General features: G+C 52.0%; 3 annotated features.

Moving 5' to 3' along the window:
• Nucleotides 7,461-8,212: an enhancer, noted in NCBI's record as "H3K4me1 hESC enhancer chr22:46957479-46958230 (GRCh37/hg19 assembly coordinates)". NCBI's record gives its function as "activates a minimal SCP1, AML or CMV promoter by ChIP-STARR-seq in naive H9 embryonic stem cells {active_cell/tissue: H9 hESC(naive)}" and the evidence as "EXISTENCE:reporter gene assay evidence [ECO:0000049][PMID:30033119]".
• Nucleotides 9,651-9,945: an enhancer, noted in NCBI's record as "tiled region #8687; HepG2 Activating DNase unmatched - State 1:Tss, and K562 Activating DNase unmatched - State 5:Enh". NCBI's record gives its function as "activates a minimal TATA promoter and a strong SV40 promoter by Sharpr-MPRA in HepG2 and K562 cells {active_cell/tissue: HepG2 | K562}" and the evidence as "EXISTENCE:reporter gene assay evidence [ECO:0000049][PMID:27701403]".
• Nucleotides 9,935-10,104: an enhancer, noted in NCBI's record as "active region_19240". NCBI's record gives its function as "activates an Ori minimal core promoter by ATAC-STARR-seq in GM12878 lymphoblastoid cells {active_cell/tissue: GM12878}" and the evidence as "EXISTENCE:reporter gene assay evidence [ECO:0000049][PMID:35858748]".

Genomic DNA, 16,700 nt, shown 5'->3' on the forward strand with positions numbered 1-16,700 from the left:
TCTACCAAAAATACAAAAAATTAGCCAGGCATGATGACAGGTGCCTGTAGTCCCAGCTACTTGGGGGGCTGAGGCAGGAGAATGGCGTGAACCCGGGAGGTGGAGCTTGCAGTGAGCTGAGATCACGCCACTGCACTCCAGCCTCAGCGTCAGAGCAAGACTCCGTCTCAAAAAATTAAATAAATAAATAAATAAATACTCCTGGGTGAATGAGGTCGAGGCCAGCGCTGCCTTCATGGGGGCAGCATCTCCTAGGGAGACAGACCCCCCCAAGCAGGGACACAGGTAGCAAGGCTGGGCTGGGGACGAGTGAGTGTGAGAGGAGGAGGGTGTGAGGGCTGGAGAGCCCTCAGGGTAAGCAGAGCTTAGGCCTGTCTCCGAGGGGGTGTGGGATTGCTTTCTGTTGCACTCAGGCGTTTCTGTTCATTTTGGCCGTCTGCAAAGCAGCCCATTAGGTTGTATCTGTGGTGCCTAAAACGGAGAGGAAATCTGGGAGTTTTCTAGGTAACGTCCAATCCAGATGACTGGCTTGAACAATTCTAGGGCTCTTCCCACTACCAACACCCTCAACACACCCCAGTGCACCAGCACACACACAGGTGCCCCCTCACTCTTTCTGCTGTGCATTCCGGCTGCACTGAGTCGCAGCATCTCACTGGCTGCCCTCAGAGGAACCCATGAGGTCACCAGGAAGGGGGACTGCTGCAGGACCCTGAAGCTTGGAAACAGGCATGAGAGCTGAGGAGTAAGCAGCAGGGGCCAGGCCCCATTCCATGGCTTAGCCAGAAAATGTACACCCTGAATTCTCTCCAAAGTACTCCTCTGGAGCAAGGTGAGAGCCATGTTGGCAGCCAAGGATGTAACTCCCAGAATGAGCTAATGAGTCAACTTGACTTCTGGCAGCATAGTGATCAGATATCCCAAAATGCCATCCGCTACCTGATTGCAAGTAAATGTCTACAGACATAACATTATTGCACTGCCAAGATCACAAGGAAGCCCTCCTTCCACAAAAGAAACAAGCAATAAATAAAGCAAACTATCTGGAACCAGAGATGAGCAATAAGCACTTTCCTTAGGTAATGCAAAATGCAGAGTGGTGAGTGGGGGTAGTGAACCTAAGAGTCCTACACCGACTTGAGACCCTCAAAGGAGGCTACCCGCCTAAGGAGAGGGTGGTTCCAACCAAATCTGCCTGCCAGGACAGGGATCCCTCTGGGAAACCTGGGTGTCTGCTTCAGAGCTCCAGGTGGAAACATTTAAGAACAATAATAATGTCCCTGGAGGATTTGCAACCATTTGCTCTCCTGCAGCGCTGAAGTTAAATTTACACTATCCTCATAGACGGGAAAATCCCCACTCAAGAAATTAAATTAAATTGGTCCTGGTCAGTGATAAAATGGTAGAGGCAAACAGAAATTCTTTCTGGAGGAAAGCATCCCAATTTAGGCCTTCAGGATTCCTACAGATGAAGCACAACCAAATACACACACACACACACACACACACACACACACACACACACACACCCCAAGGAGACAAGCCACCATAAGGCGAGACTCAATAGAAATAACAAATAGATTTAGACCCCTGAGAACTGCTTGAAATAAATGAAGTGCCGGCCAGGCGCAGTGGCTCGAGCCTGTAATCCCAGCACTTTGGGAGGCCAAGGCGGGCGGATCACAAGGTCAGGAGATTGGGACCATCCTGGCTAACACGGTGAAACCCCGTCTCTATTAAAAGTACAAAAAATTAGCCGGGTGTGGTGGCGGGCGCCTGTAGTCCCAGCTACTTGGGAGGCTGAGGCAGGAGAATGGCATGAACCTGGGAGGTAGAGCTTGCAGTGAGCCGAGATGGCACCACTGCACTCCAGCCTGGGCAACAAAGCGAGACTCCGTCTAAAAAAATAAATAAATAAAATAAATAAATAAATAAATGAAGTGCCAGGCGTGGTGGCTCCACAACTGTAATCCCAGCACTTTGGGAGGCCGACGTGGGCAGATTGCTTGAGCCCAGGAGTTCATGCCTGGGCAACATGGCGAAACCCCATCTCTACAAAAATGTACAAAAATTAGCGGATGTGGTGGAGCATGCCTGTAGTCCCAGCTACTCAGGAAGCTGACGTAGGAGGATCACTTGAGCTTGGGAAGTCTAGGTGGCAGTGAGCTGTGATAGTGCCACTGCACTCTAGCCTGGGAGACAGAGTAAGACTCTGCCAGGAAAAAAAGAAAAAGGAAGGGAGGGAGGGAGGGAAAAGAAAAGAAATAGATGAAGTCTATTCATCTATCAATTTTTCCTTTTTGATTGTCTTCCTTATTCCATCTAAGGAATTCCAGCTAAATCTGCCTTTATATTAAAGAAGTTTTTTGTTTTTGTTCATTTGTTTGTTCGTTTTTGAGACAGAGTTTCGCTCCTGTTGGCCAGGCTGGAGTGCAATGGCACGATCTCGGCTCACCGCAACCTCTGCCTCCCAGGTTCAAGAAATTCACCTGCCTCAGCCTCCAAAGTAGCTGGGATTACAGGTATGCACCACCACTCCCAGCTAATTTTGTATTTTTTGCAGAGATGCATTTCTCCATGTTGGTAAGGCTGGTCTCAAACTCCCAACCTCAGGTGATCTGCCCACCTCAGCTTCCCAAAGTGCTGGGATTACAGGCGTGAGCCACCACACCCAGCCGATTAAGGAGGATTTAATGGAATAAGGAAGATGATCAAAAAGGCAAAAGAGTCTATTGGAGAAAAAAAGGCCAGAGAGATTTGAAAAAGAACCAAATATACTTTTACAAGTGAAAAAATACAAATGTTGAAACTATGAGTTAAACAGCTAAAGAGAGAATCAGTGAAATGGAGCACAGATACGAAGAAATTTCCTAGGATGCAACATAGAAAGATGAGAAGAGAGAAAATATGAAAGAAAGGTAAGAAGGCTGGGAGGAGAGTATGAGTGAGTCTAATGTGCATCTAATCAGAATTCCTAGAATTCCAGATCCCTGGATGAGGTGGTACTAAGTGGGGGCAATGGGTGGGGGTGCAGTGCAGGGCTATACCAGGCAGAGGGAACAGCACGTGCAAGGCCCTGAGGAACCTAACCAAAGCTGGTCTGCTAGGGCCCTTACTCTGTGCTGCCTTATGCAGGGCAATGCTGGGGCACAGATGGGGCTTAAACACTGTCCCTGCCTGAGCAGTAGGCAGTCTACTGGGGAGCCAGCCACAGTGAGGTAGACAGCCGTGCTACTGCCTGGCCAATTCCATTTCCCCTTCGACTGCTAACTATACCTCTTCTCCTCCCCAGCTCTCAGGCCACATAGCCCAGGCAGAGCTAGCCCCAGTCCTTCATGCTTCAGGGATGGACATGTGACCTCGGCCAGGTTAATCACAGCCAGTGAGGTCCAGTTCTCAAACTTTTGTTAGAACCATCGGGCACAGGAAATCTCTGGTTTGTCCAGGGGTGCTGACAGGGGAGACTGTTGGTCTGGAACCACCAAGAGATGGAACCAACATAAAGAAAGGCCCCCGTTGAGCCCTGGATCCAAGTTTTCTGAAAATACCCTGGACATAATGTTACAGAAGTTAATAGATTTCCTTTTCTGTTTGAGCTGGTCTGAGCTGTTTTTTTCTGTTACGTATAACTCCTTGCTCTGTCCCTGAAACAGAGGGAAATCCCAAGGCTGGAGAACCCATGGGAGGACCTGGCCCAGCCTAGGGGTCAGTGAGGCTTCTTATGGGAGGTGATAACCAGGCTGGGTCTTGATAGCTGCACCAGAGTTAGCTGGAGGGAAGAGGTGCGCCCGGGCAGGCTGGTGCAGGTGCTGGCTGCCTTCCCAGGAGTCAGGGCAGCTCACTGGCTCCTGGGCACAGTCTCTGCCCAGGCAGGCCCTGGGCTCCCAGGTCAGCTCTTAGCAGAGGCTTCTGAGGACCTCAGGGTTTGGCAGGAACAGGAGGCCTAAAGAGGGGACAACTCGGAAGCACTGCATAGGGTGGGGCAGGCCAGCCTCCAAGGGTCTTATTTCATGTGCCATGTTGGTGTCAGGACCTCCAACCTCAGGATCCACTGAGGTTTGTGAGAGGAGCTGTGTCGGGAGGTCACCAGCCCATCCTGTCCCTCCCTGGCCCCCAGCATGGCCAGTGCCATGGCCACCCCTGTCATGTTGCCAGGCAGGTGCAATGTGCAGGGCACCAAACCAAGTGGGCTTGAGAATCTGCTCTCAGCTCTATAACAAAGTCGTTTCAGCTTCTTGATGCCAGCTGACTTGGCACCCACCCATGTTCAGTCTCGTGCAGATCAATCAGCTGATCAGTGGGCTGCACGGGTCTCTGTGCCCTGTGCCTGTGTCACTACCAGCCCAGGCTCCCATGCCCAGCTTAAATGCCCTCTCCTCCAAGAACCCTTCCCTGATCACCCAAGGCATAAATGTTCCATCCTGCCTCTAACAACCCTTTGAACCAGGACCCCAAGCTGCCGTGGGAGGTGGTTACTTGTAGGTATGTTGTATTTTCCTTTGGTTCATCTCTGTCTACTCAGGGCCTAGTGAGGACCTGGCAAGAACACCTGATAGGGTAAGTCCTAGCCAGAGAAATCAGGCCAGAGAAAGAAAGAAAGGGCATCCAAATTGGAAAAGAGGAAGTCAAACTATATCTGTTTGCCAACGATACGATCTTATACCTAGAAAACGCCAAAGATTACTCCAAAAGACTCCTAGATTTGATAAATAAATTAAGTAAAGTCTCAAGTTACAAAATCAATGTACACAAATCAGTAGCATTGCCATACTCCAGCAATGATCAAGCTGACAATCACAAGAACTCAATCCCTTTTTTTTTTTTTTTACCTTTGAGATGGAGTCTCGCTCTTGTTGCCCAGGCTGGAGTGCAATGGCGCGATCTCGGCTCACTGCAACCTCTGCCTCCCAGGTTCAGCAGTTCTCCTGCCTCTGCCTCCTGAGTAGCTCGGATTACAGGCACCCGCCACCATGCCTGGCTAATTTTTGTATTTTTAGTAGAGATGGAGTTTCACCAGGTTGGTCCACGCCTGTAATCCCAGCACTTTGGGAGGCTGGGGCGGATGGATCACCTGAGGTCAGGAGTTTGAACTCAATCCCTTTTACAGTACCTAGACACAAAAAATAAAATGCTTAGGAATATACTTAACCAAGGAGGTGAGCGATCTCTACAAAGAGAACTATAAAACACTGCTGAAAGAAATCATAGATGACAAAAACACATGGCAATACATCCCATGTTCGTGGACTAGAACAATCAATATTGTGAAAGTAACCATACTGCCCAAAGCAATCTACAGAGTCACTGCAATTCCAACCAAAATACCAACATCATTCTTCACAGAATTAGAAAAAACAACCTTAAAATTCATATGGCATCAAAAAAGAACCTGAATAGCCAAAGCAATCCCAAGCAAAAAACAAATCTGGAGGCATCACCTTACCCAACTTCAAATTATACTATAAGGATGTAGTAATCAAGACAGTATCAAGGAAGTGTCTACTGGTACCAAGCACTGTATCAAGGTAGATATATAGACCAATAGAACAGAATAGAGAATCCAGAAATAAAGCCACTTACAGCCAACTGATCTTCCACAAAGTATGCAAAAACATAAACTGGGGAAATGACATTCTATTCAATAAATGGTGCTGGGAAAATTGGATAGCCACATGTGGAAGAATGGAGCTGGATCCCTCTTTCTCACCATATACAAAAATTAACTCACAATGGGTTAAATACTTAAACCTAAGTCCTGAAATCATAAAAATTCTAGAAGGAACCCTAGGAAAAACTCTTATGGACATTGGCCTAGGCTAAATATTTATAACGAAGGCTCCAAAGGCAAATGCAACAAAAACAAAAATAAACAGGACCTACTTAAACTAGAAAGCTTCTACACAGCAGAAGAAATAATCATGAAAGTAAACAGACAACTTAGAGAATGGGAGAAAATGTTTGCAAACTATGCATCTGACAAAGGACTAATACGCAGAATCTACAAGGGACTCAAATCAGCAAGAAAAAAAAATAATAATTCTGGCTGGGCGCAGTGGCTCATACCTGTAACCCCAGCACTTTGGGAGGGCAAGGCGTGCGGATGACTTGAGGTCAGGAGTTCGAGATCAGCCTGGCCAACATGGTGAAACCCTATCTCTACCAAAAATATAAAAAATTAGCTGGGTGTGGTGGCAGGGCCTGTAATCCCAGCTACTCAGTAGGCTGAGGCATGACACTCAACTTGAATCCAGGAGGCAGAGATTGCAGTGAGCCGAGATTGTACCACTGCACTCCAGCCTGGGTGACAGAGTGAGACTCTATCTAAAAAAATTAATAAAATAAAATAAAAATAATAAATACTTTATAAACATTAATTTACTGACTCTTCTTAATGACCTTGATGTTATATTCTGTTTGATCCCTATTAACAGACAAGGAAACTCGGGCACAGAGAGGCTAGGTTACTCATTCAGAGTCACACAGCCAGTGTGCAGCAGAGCCAGAAGTAAAGCCCAGGGAGTCCCACTCCAGTCTGTGCTCTTAACCCTGGGCCATGACATGTCATCACCCTAGGTGTGCAGTGAGGGGACTGGGGCCTAGGAAGGGGAAGGGACTCATACCTGAAGCCACACAACCAGGGTCCAGCCCTAGGCAGGCTCTTTCTCCACAGAGACAGAGCCGGTTTGGGCCCCTCCTCTCTTCTCTTGGTGACAGTTTTGCCCATGGGCATCCTGCGGGCAAAGGGGAGGCTGAGTTTCTGGTTTGTGGGTGTGTTTCAGGAAGTGCAGCTTGATGGGGTCAGTCTTTGTGTGCAGGGAGAGGAGCTGGGTGGAGGCTGGCTGGATGACTGGGCCTAGGCCTCCGGACAACGGAAAGGAGCAGAGAAGACGAGGGATGCGTCCCGGCACTGGTATTGTGGAGAGAGACCCCAACCCCCAGGAGGGTGAGGAAGGGGCTGTTGGTTCCCCCGCTGGTGAGCAAGGGCTGGCTGTGGGAGGGGCTCCAGGAGCGGAGGGGAACTGTTAAAGATTCAGACCCAGCTGGGCGCGGTGGCTCACGCTTGTAATCCCAGCATTTTGAGAGGCTGAGGTGGGCGAATCACCTGAGGTCAGGAGTTCAGACCAGCCTGCCCAATATGGAGAAACCCCGTCTCTGCTAAAAAATACAAAAATTAGCCAGGCGTGATGGTGCACACCTGCAATCCCAGCTACTAGAGAGGCTAAGGCAGGAGAATCGCTTGAACTCGGGAGGCGGAGGTTGCAGTGAGGTGAGATTGCACCACTGCACTCCAGCCTGGGCGACACAGCGAACTCTGTTTCAAAAAAAAAAAAAAAAAGATTCAGACCCAGCCTCCGCCCCCTGTGTCACACAAACTGTTCTCCTCCTAGGGCAGGCTTAGAGGGGCCCATGCCTGGGGCACCCAGGTTGGCAGGCAGCTTCGTGGATGCCTCTGGGGAGGCCTTCCTGACTGCAGGCCGGCTCTGGGGTGCTGCAGAAGAACTCACTTCCATCTCTTCTATGATGGTGGTGTAGGTAGCCATGTTTGACAACATGTGACGATGCCTGGTGGTCACGTGATTCCAAAGGCACCACACCATAGGTCAGCCCAGGACCAATAGCTGGTGGCAGGAAGCAAGGAGCTGAACAGGTGGATTCACCCCTGGGGACTTCAGCCTGGCCATCCCAGAAGAGGCAGCTGCTGACAGGGTCTCATGGAGGGCTGAGGATGCAGGGAGGTCTGGGGGTCTTGAGGGCCACATAGGGCCTTGGGAAGTCTTGGGAATTTAGGCGACCTAGGAGACCTTGTGGGGCTTTAGGAGGGCCTAAGGAACCTGGGGGGCCCTGGGGATCGTTGAGGGGCCTGGGAAGGCCTTGAGGGGTCTCTGGAGGATCTTTTGGGCCTTGGGGGCCTGAGGAGCCTTGGGGGACCTCCAGAGGCCTAAGGGACCTTGGGAAATCTTTGGGACCTTAGGGGGAGAGGGGATGTAGGAGACTTGAGAGGCCTGGGGCTTTGGGTGGACCTTGGAAAGCAAGGGAGGTTGGGAGGGCCATGGCGGGTGGAGCAGCCCCCCCAGAGGGCCTGGGTCATTCAGCAGCCACAGCCTGGACATTGTGCTCCGGCTCTGGGAGCCCTGGTCATTCCCTCTGTGTGATGGGGGGATCCCAGGCCTGCTCCAGCATCCCTGTGAGGGTGAAGTGATCCCAAGGGGACAGGCATTGCCCTCACCCTCAGGCCTGCATGCCCCACACTCCACTTCCACACAAACTCATCTGAAGGCACATGAGGCTGTGTGGTCTACCAAAGGCTTCATGGGGAGGTGGAGGAAGGAGCCCCATTGCGAGACATCCCCGTGTCCCCAGAGCTCCTCTCACACTGACAGCCACTCTCTTCACTGGTTCGTATAAAGTGCCCAGAACAGTGCCCGGCACACAGGAGGTGTGAGCCATCGTCACTGCTGTCACTGTCTTTCAGTTCTCTCTTTCCCAGACGGCCTCTCAGGATCCCTCTTTTTGCCTCCAGCGATCTGGTGCCCCTCGTGTCAGAACAGATGCATCCTGCGATGCTCCTCACGTGAAACAGGAAGAGCCTATACATGAAAATGTGCGTCTTCCCCCATGGTGTTTCGTTTTCTTGCGGGGGGACTGAGTCTCATTCTGTCGCCCAGGCTGGAGTGCAGTGGCACGATCTCGGCTCACTGCAACCTCCCACCCCCAGGTTCAAGTGGTTCTCCTACCTCAGCCTCCCGAGTAGCTGGGATTGCAGGTGCCTGCCACCATGCCCGGCTAATTTTTTGTATTTTTAGTAGAGATGGAGTTTCACCATGTTGGCCAGGCTGGTCTCGATCTCCTGACCTCAGGTGATCCGCCTTGGCCTCCCAAAGTGTTGGGATTACAGGTGTGAGCCAGCACACCTGGCCCTCTGTGGGGTTTAGAAGTAGCTCAGCACAGGCCAGGTGCAGTGGCTCATGCCTGTAATCCCAGCACTTTGGGAGGCCGAGGCGGGCAGATCATGAGGTCAGGAGTTCGAGACCAGCCTGGCCAACATGGTGAAACTCCGTCTCTACTAAAAATACAAAAAATTAGCCGGGCGTGGTGACGCGCACCTGTAGTCCCAGCTACTCGGGAGGCTGAGGCAGGAGAATGGCGTGAACCCGGGAGGCGGAGCTTGCAGTGATCCGAGATAGCGCCATTGCACTGCAGCCTGGGCGACAGAGCAAGACTCCGCCTCAGAAAAAAAAAAAAAAAAAGAAGTAGCTCAGCACAGCATGTGGCGGGTGCCACCCAAGAAGGTGGCACAGAGGACAAAAGTCCACAGAGGACAAATGCAGCCAGTGTGGAAATCAGGCCCCAACTTGCGGGGCCGAGGCCGTGAGCAGCCACAAGGTGGCCCCAGTGAGCTTAGGGACCAGCTAGTGCAGGGCAGGTGGGAGGTTCACGCACAGCTAAATTAGGCTAAGAGAGACGTGGCAGGGTCTCCCTGGGGCAGCAGGTGGGGGCTCAGCTCACCCTGGCTCCCGGCTGCACAGCTCAGAGTGGGCACCTCCTCGCCTGAGGAGAAGGAAGGGCCGCCTGTAGCCAGCAGGTGTGCCAGCATCCTCCTACCTGGGCTGGGGCCCGGAAGGCGAACACAGGGCAACCGAACCCATTGCAGAGCAGGGCCTGAGGGCTGGCTTGGGAGCAGGTGGTTGGAGTCTGGCTCTGAACAGGCCTTGATCCGTCCCTTGGGTCCCCCAGGCCCTTCCCAGCCTCCACCCCGTGCTGCAGGCCACACCTACAGCCTTCTGTGCCGAGGGCTGTGCCCCTGGAAGCCACGTGGGGCAGACTGGAGCTGCCTGGGTCCTGGAGCAGCATTTCTGGGGCTTCAGCCCAGGGGAGCTGACTGGATTTGCGGCTACACTCACACCACACTCCTCCTCCGGGCTGGGCCGGGTGAGAGGAGGGAGATGAAGGAGGGCGGGCCTGCCCTTGCTGGTCATCAGGGTCGCTCATCTCTGGGGATCTGGCTGGAGCTAGGAATTGAGGAAGGACAGGCTGGTGGCAGGGGCCGGGGCTGGGCTTCTGGCGGGCCAGGCCCCCCTCTAGGGAGGTCTGTGCTCACTGCATCCCTAGGGACACAAGCCCAGGGCCAGGGCCTCATGCTTTCTGGCCTGGCAGGCTGCCTGCCTCAGCCCCACCCCACCCAAGGCATCCAGGGACACTGGCCTGTGGCAGACACGCCCACAGCTTTGCTGTGTGTCCATCTTTGTTGCTTCTCCTTTTGGGGAGCTACCCCTACCCCTGCACTTTAACAGGTGAACCCAGTGTGAGCCACTGCCCCGCCCACCAGCCCCTGAATCAGGCCAAAGAAGTGAAAACCATCTGACCACAGAGGAGGAGCCTGGGGGCGCAGCAGGGCCCCAGCTGGCCGGAGGTCAGCCTCAGGGTGGGTGGCCTGGAGGCCAGCTGTCTGGAGGATCCTGAGCAGAGAGGGGGGCAGGCCCTTGGTGCCTTTCCTTCCAAGAGGGGAATCTAAAGGGAGAGAGTGACATCAATCCAAGGCCCACCGTGCAGATGCTGATTACAGAGGCCAGCGGAGGTGACACAGGTCCTGCCCAAGACAGTCCTGGAGATGGATGGTGGGGCTGGTACCTGTCTTAATTTGCTGCATTGCTAGAAAGAAATACCCGAGGATAGGTAATTTATAAAGAAAAGGTGGTAGCCAGGCACAGTGGCTCACACTTGTAATCCCAGCACTTTGGGAGACTGAGGCAGGCAGATCACCTGAGGTCAGGAGTTCGAGACCAGTCTGACCAACATGGAGAAACTGTCTCTACTAAACATACAAAATTAGCCAGGCATGGTGGCACATGCCTGTAATCCCAGCTACTTGGGAGGCTGAGGCAGGAGAATCATTTGAACCCGGAAGGCAGAGTTTGCGGTGAGCCGAAATCGCGCCATTGCACTCCAGCCTGGGCAACAGGAGCAAAACTCCGTCTGGAAAAGAAAAGAAAAGAAGAGAAAAGAAAAGGAAAGGAAAGGAAAGAAAAGAAAAGAAAAGATGGTTATTTGGCTCATAGTTCTTCAGGCTGGTACAAAGAAGCGTGGCACCAGCATCTGCTTCTGGTGAGGCCTCAGGAAGCTTCCACTCATAGCAGAAGGGGAAGGGTAGCAGGCATCCCATGGAGAGAGGAAGGAGGGAGGAGAGGGGGAAAGGAGGTTCCAGGCTCTCTTTAACAACCAACCCTCGCGGGAACTAATAAAGGCAGAACTCACTGTTAACGCAAGCACCAAGCCGTTCATGAGGGGTCCGCCCTCATGATACAAACACCTCCCGCCAGGCCCCACCTCCAACACTGAGGATCAAATTTTAACCCGAGATCTGGAAAGGACAACATCCAAACTATATCAGCATCCCAACAATGAGAATGTACTTCATGTTACCTCAAAATGGCTAAGACAGTAAATGTTTAAACATGGGTAAATCTAAGTAACTATTGGCTGCATAGAATAACATTAATTTTTCATTGTCTTTTATATAGATAAAAATTTTATTTATTTATTGAGACACAGTATCGCTCTATCACCCAGGCTAGAGTGCAGTGGCACGATCTCAGCTCACCGCAAACTCCACCTCCAGGGTTCAAGCGATTCTCCTGCCTCAGTCTCCCGAATAACCGGGACTACAGGCGTGTGCCATCACGCCAGGATAACTTCTGTATTTTTAGTAGAGACAGGGTTTTGCCATGTTGGGCCAAGCTGGTCTTGATCTCCTGACCTCAGGTGGTCTGCCCGCCTGGGCCTCCCTAAGTGTTGGGATTACAGGCGTGAGCCACCGTGCCCGGCTTATATAGGCCGGGCGCAGTATAGGCCTTGCCCATACCCATCAATAGCCACTACATTCGTGAATAGCCACTGCATTCCAGCCTGGACAACACAGCAAGACTATATCTATTTTTTGTTGTTTTTGTTAAAGTACATTAGTGGCCGGGTGCAGTGGCTGACGCCTGTAATCTCAGCACTTTGGGAGACCGAGGTGGGCAGATCATTCGAGGTCAGGAGTTCGAGACCAGCCTGGCCAACACGGTGAAACCCTGTCTCTACTAAAAATACAAAAATTAGCCCAGCGTGGTAGCTTGCATCTGTAATCCCAGCTACTCAGGAGGCTGAGGCAGGAGAATCGCTTGAACTCAGGAGGTGGAGGTTGCAGTGAGCCAAGATCACACCACTACACTCCAGCCTGGGTGACAGAGCCAGACTCTGTCTTAATAAATAAATAAATAAAGTACATTAGATGATGTCTTAGTCCCTTTTGTGCTGTTATCACAGAGTATCTGAGACTGGGTAATTTATAAACAATGGAAGCTTATTTGGCTCATAGCTCTGGAGGCTGGAAGTCCAAGAGCAAGGTGCCAGGATCTAGGGAGAGCCTTCTTCGTGCAACACCCCATGGAAGAAGGCAGAAGGGCAAGAGAGTGTGCACTGAACCCATTCTTTTATCAGGAACCCACTCCCAAGATAACTAACCCACTCCCAAGATAACTAACCCACTCTCATAACGAACCCACTCCCATGATAACTAACCCACTCCCAAGATAACTAACCCACTCCCAAGATAACTAACCCACTCTCATAGCTAACCCACTCCCAAGATAACTAACCCACTCCCAAGATAACTAACCCACTCCCATGATAACTAACCCACTCTCATAACTAACCCACTCTCATGATAACTAACCCACTCCCAAGATAACTAACCCACGCCCATAACGAACCCACTCCCATGATAACTAACCCACTCCCAAGATAACGAACCCACTCCCAAGATAACGAACCCACTCCCATGATAACTAACCCACTCCCAAGATAACTAATCCACTCCCATGATAACTAACCCACTCCCATGATAACGAACCCACTCCCATGACAACTAACCCACTCCCAAGATAACGAACCCACTCCCAAGATAACTAACCCACTCCCATGATAACTAACCCACTCCCAAGATAACTAACCCACTCCCAAGATAACGAACCCACTCCCATGATAACTAACCTACTCCCAAGATAACTAATCCACTCCCATGATAACTAACCCACTCCCATGATAACGAACCCACTCCCATGATAACTAACCCACTCCCAAGATAACTAACCCACTCCCAAGATAACTAACCCACTCCCATGATAACGAACCCACTCCCAAGATAACTAACCCACTCCCAAGATAACGAACCCACTCCCATGATAACTAACCCACTCCCAAGATAACTAATCCACTCCCATGATAACTAACCCACTTCCATGATAACTAACCCACTCCCAAGATAACGAACCCACTCCCAAGATTACTAACCCACTCCCATGATAACTAACCCACTCCCAAGATAACTAAACCACTCCCAAGATAACTAACCCACTCCCATGATTATAAACCCACTTCCATGATAATGAACCCACTCCCGTGATAACTAACCCACTCTCATGATAACTAACCCACTCTCATAACTATAATTAACCCACCCCCAAGATAACTAACCCACTCCCATGACAACTAACCCACTCTCATAACTATAACTAACCCACTCCCAAGATAACTAACCCACTCCCATGATAACTAACCCACTCCCAAGATAACTAACCCACTCCCAAGATAACTAACCCACTCCCCTAACCCACTCTCATAACTAACCCACTCCCAAGATAACTAACCCACACCCATGATAACTAACCCACTTTCATAGCTATAACTAACCCACTCCCATGATAATGAACCCCTCCTATGATAACTAACCCACTCCCATGGTAACTAACCCACTCCCAAGATAACTACCCACTCCCATGATAATGAACCCCTCCTATGATAACTAACCCACTCCCAAGATAACTAACCCACTCCCATGATAAGTAACCCACTCCCATGATAAGAAACCCACTCCCATGGTAACTAACCCACTCCCAAGATAACTAACCCGCATCCATAACTAACCCACTGTCATGATAACTAACCCACTCTCATAACTAACCCACTCCAAAGATAACTAACCCACTCCCAAGATAACTAACCCACACCCATGATAACTAACCTACTCTCATGATAACTAACCCACTCCCAAGATAGCTAACCCACACCCATGATAACTAGGCCTCTCTCATGATAACTAACCCTCTCTCATAACTAACCCACTCCCAAGATAACTAACCCATGCCCATGATAACTAACCCACTCCCATGATAACCCACTCTCATGATAACTAACCCACTCCTCCGTCCCAGTGCTGTGCTGTCACCTGCTGCCAAAAGGTGGCATAACCAGTTACCCTCAGAAGCCAGAACCCCAAGTTCCACGCTGCAATCCCCATCCCAAGCTGGCGGCAGGAGCATGCCCTCTGCCACTTCCCTGGGGCCTGGCAAAGCCCTGCGAACTGCAGGGACAACCCCCCTGGAGAGTCACAGCAGGAGAAGTCCTCCACTTCTTCCATTACCTCCATGCTCCCTCCTCACCACCCCGACACTGATGTGGGCCTGGGATGCTGATGCAACTTACAACGAGGGTGTGCATGGCTGCAGCGTCTCAGGTCTTCCTGGAAACAGGTGTTAAGTTGGTGGAGCATCTCACACCCAGTGGCATTTTTAAATCAAGGAAACACAAGGATGAGGTTGCAGTGAGCCAGGATTGCACCATTGCCCTCCAGCCTGGGCAACAAGAGTGAAACTCCATCTCAAAAAAACAAACAAAAACAAAACAAACAAACAAAAATGCACAGTGCTAGAAAGAAATAGAAAATAGCAGAGGAAGATTGCCATGGTGGATACAGGAGTGATTTTAAAGCAGGTCGTCGGGGTGGATCCCAGAGCAAAGGTGGTCCTTGAGCAAAGACTTGAGGAGGCTGAGGGATGGAGTGATGCAGACGTTGGAGGGACAAGTGGGCCGGGCAGGAGGGACAGCAGGGGCTCCCCGGGATCACAGGGAGGGCTACAAGCCCATAGGTGAGCAGTAGGCCCTGCGCAGAGAAGCAAGAGGGTGGCCCCCAGGGAGAGGAAAGTGGGCGGGGTGAGGGGGCCTGTGCAGAAAAGAAACAGGGAGTCCAGTGAGGAGGCTCCTGCAGAGGCTGGGGAGGGAGGATGGCCTGGAAGCAGTGGCAGGGAGCAGGGCCAGGCGTCCTGCACCTGCAGGCCCAGGGGTTTGAGGGGCGCGGGGATCAGGGAGACCCACAGGAGGGCCCTGCCGGGAAGCTCTGTTAGCACAAAGAAGTGAAGGGGATGGTGGGAGGGAGGCCGAGTGCTGAGAGGCTGTGGGAGGCCCCAGTAGGGGCTCAGGGGGCCCAGGGTGGTTTAGGAGAGGAGGGGACAGGACAGACTGGGATCCGCAGCAGATGAAGGGTAGACCTCTGGGCAGGTGGCTCAGGGTGCTGAACCTGTCTTCATCCCTGGCGAGGGATCCTCTCAGTGTGTGCAGGGCTGGCTCCTTGACCCCAAGATCACAGGTGCCTGCTGGCGGACATTGAGCTGGTTGTGGAGTCTTTGCCCTTCTTCCACTGTGATGGCTTCTCGCTGCTGGGCCACCCGCTCCGCTCCCGGTCCCTGCTCTGGCTTGGCGGGTGTTGCTCTGTCCTAGGACCTTTCTCACGAGCCACTCCTAACCTGCGTCATCCCCTCCTCCCAAACGCTGCTGTCCCGCGTGTTTTCCACCGAGGAGCGGGCACTCTCACACTTGCACCCTCACACACCTGGCTGTGTGTGTCTCCTCCAGCTCCTCCAAGCCCCCAGGCCATCTCTTTGCCCTGTGGCTGCATCGCTCTGTCACTGTCCCTGTCTTTTCATGCTGGTGGTGTCAGGGACATGGTTGCTGTGGGCTCATAGGGTATCCTGGTTGGGCCTTGAACTAGCTGTGTGATGCTGGTCCAAACACATTACCTCTCAGGACTCAGCTTTTCCGTCTGTGGAATGGGCACAGTAATGCCCCACTGCCTCCTTCCCAGGTCAGGCGGGAGCAAGGCTGAATCCCCCGTGTTCTGTGTCTGTAACTGCACTGTGCCTGCGCCAGGGCTCCCCTAGCCTAGGGCCTGGCGGGGGACACCGGGATTGAGGCTGGATGTCCGTCGGGTCTGATGATGCAGGCCTTGCAGGAGTCTGTGCTTTATCCCAAAACCTGGGAAACTGGGTTCTGCCAAAGGCCTGGGTTTGGCCTTGGGGCCTTAGAAGATTCCAGTGCCATTTTCGCAGGAGGGGATCCAGGGTGCTGCTCCACGGCATGGCCCGGAGCCCAGGCCCCAAGCAGTCCTGGCCCCTGGGCTCCCTTCTCTGTCCCTGCATCTTCCCCATCTTTCCAGAGCTGGGTTTCGAGGTCAGTGTGCCAGCTCCTGGGCGCCCCTCACTGACCACATGGGGGCTGCGTGATCTCCGTGGCAGGCAGAGAACCCAGGGACCTCCTGGCCTGCCCATGCCCACCTGCCCTGTGCCCAGAGCTCCCTCCCCCAGCTCAGCTGCTCTTCAGGTCCTCACCCTGCCCTGCCACAGCCCTGCAGTGGCCTTTCTCCCGGGAACAACAGCCACAGTGTGGGGAGGGGCTTGCTTTCCACACCCCTCCACACCTCTGGTGGTGGGAAGAGCTCTGTAAGAGCTGCTCAGATCCCTGTCTCAGTAGGTTTTCTGCTGCTTATAACAGAATTCCGGAAACTGGGTAGTTTATAAAGAAAAGGAATTTATTTATTACAGTTATGA

This window comes from Homo sapiens, chromosome 22 (assembly GCF_000001405.40).
Source record: "Homo sapiens chromosome 22, GRCh38.p14 Primary Assembly".
NCBI classification, from domain to species: Eukaryota; Metazoa; Chordata; class Mammalia; order Primates; family Hominidae; genus Homo; species Homo sapiens.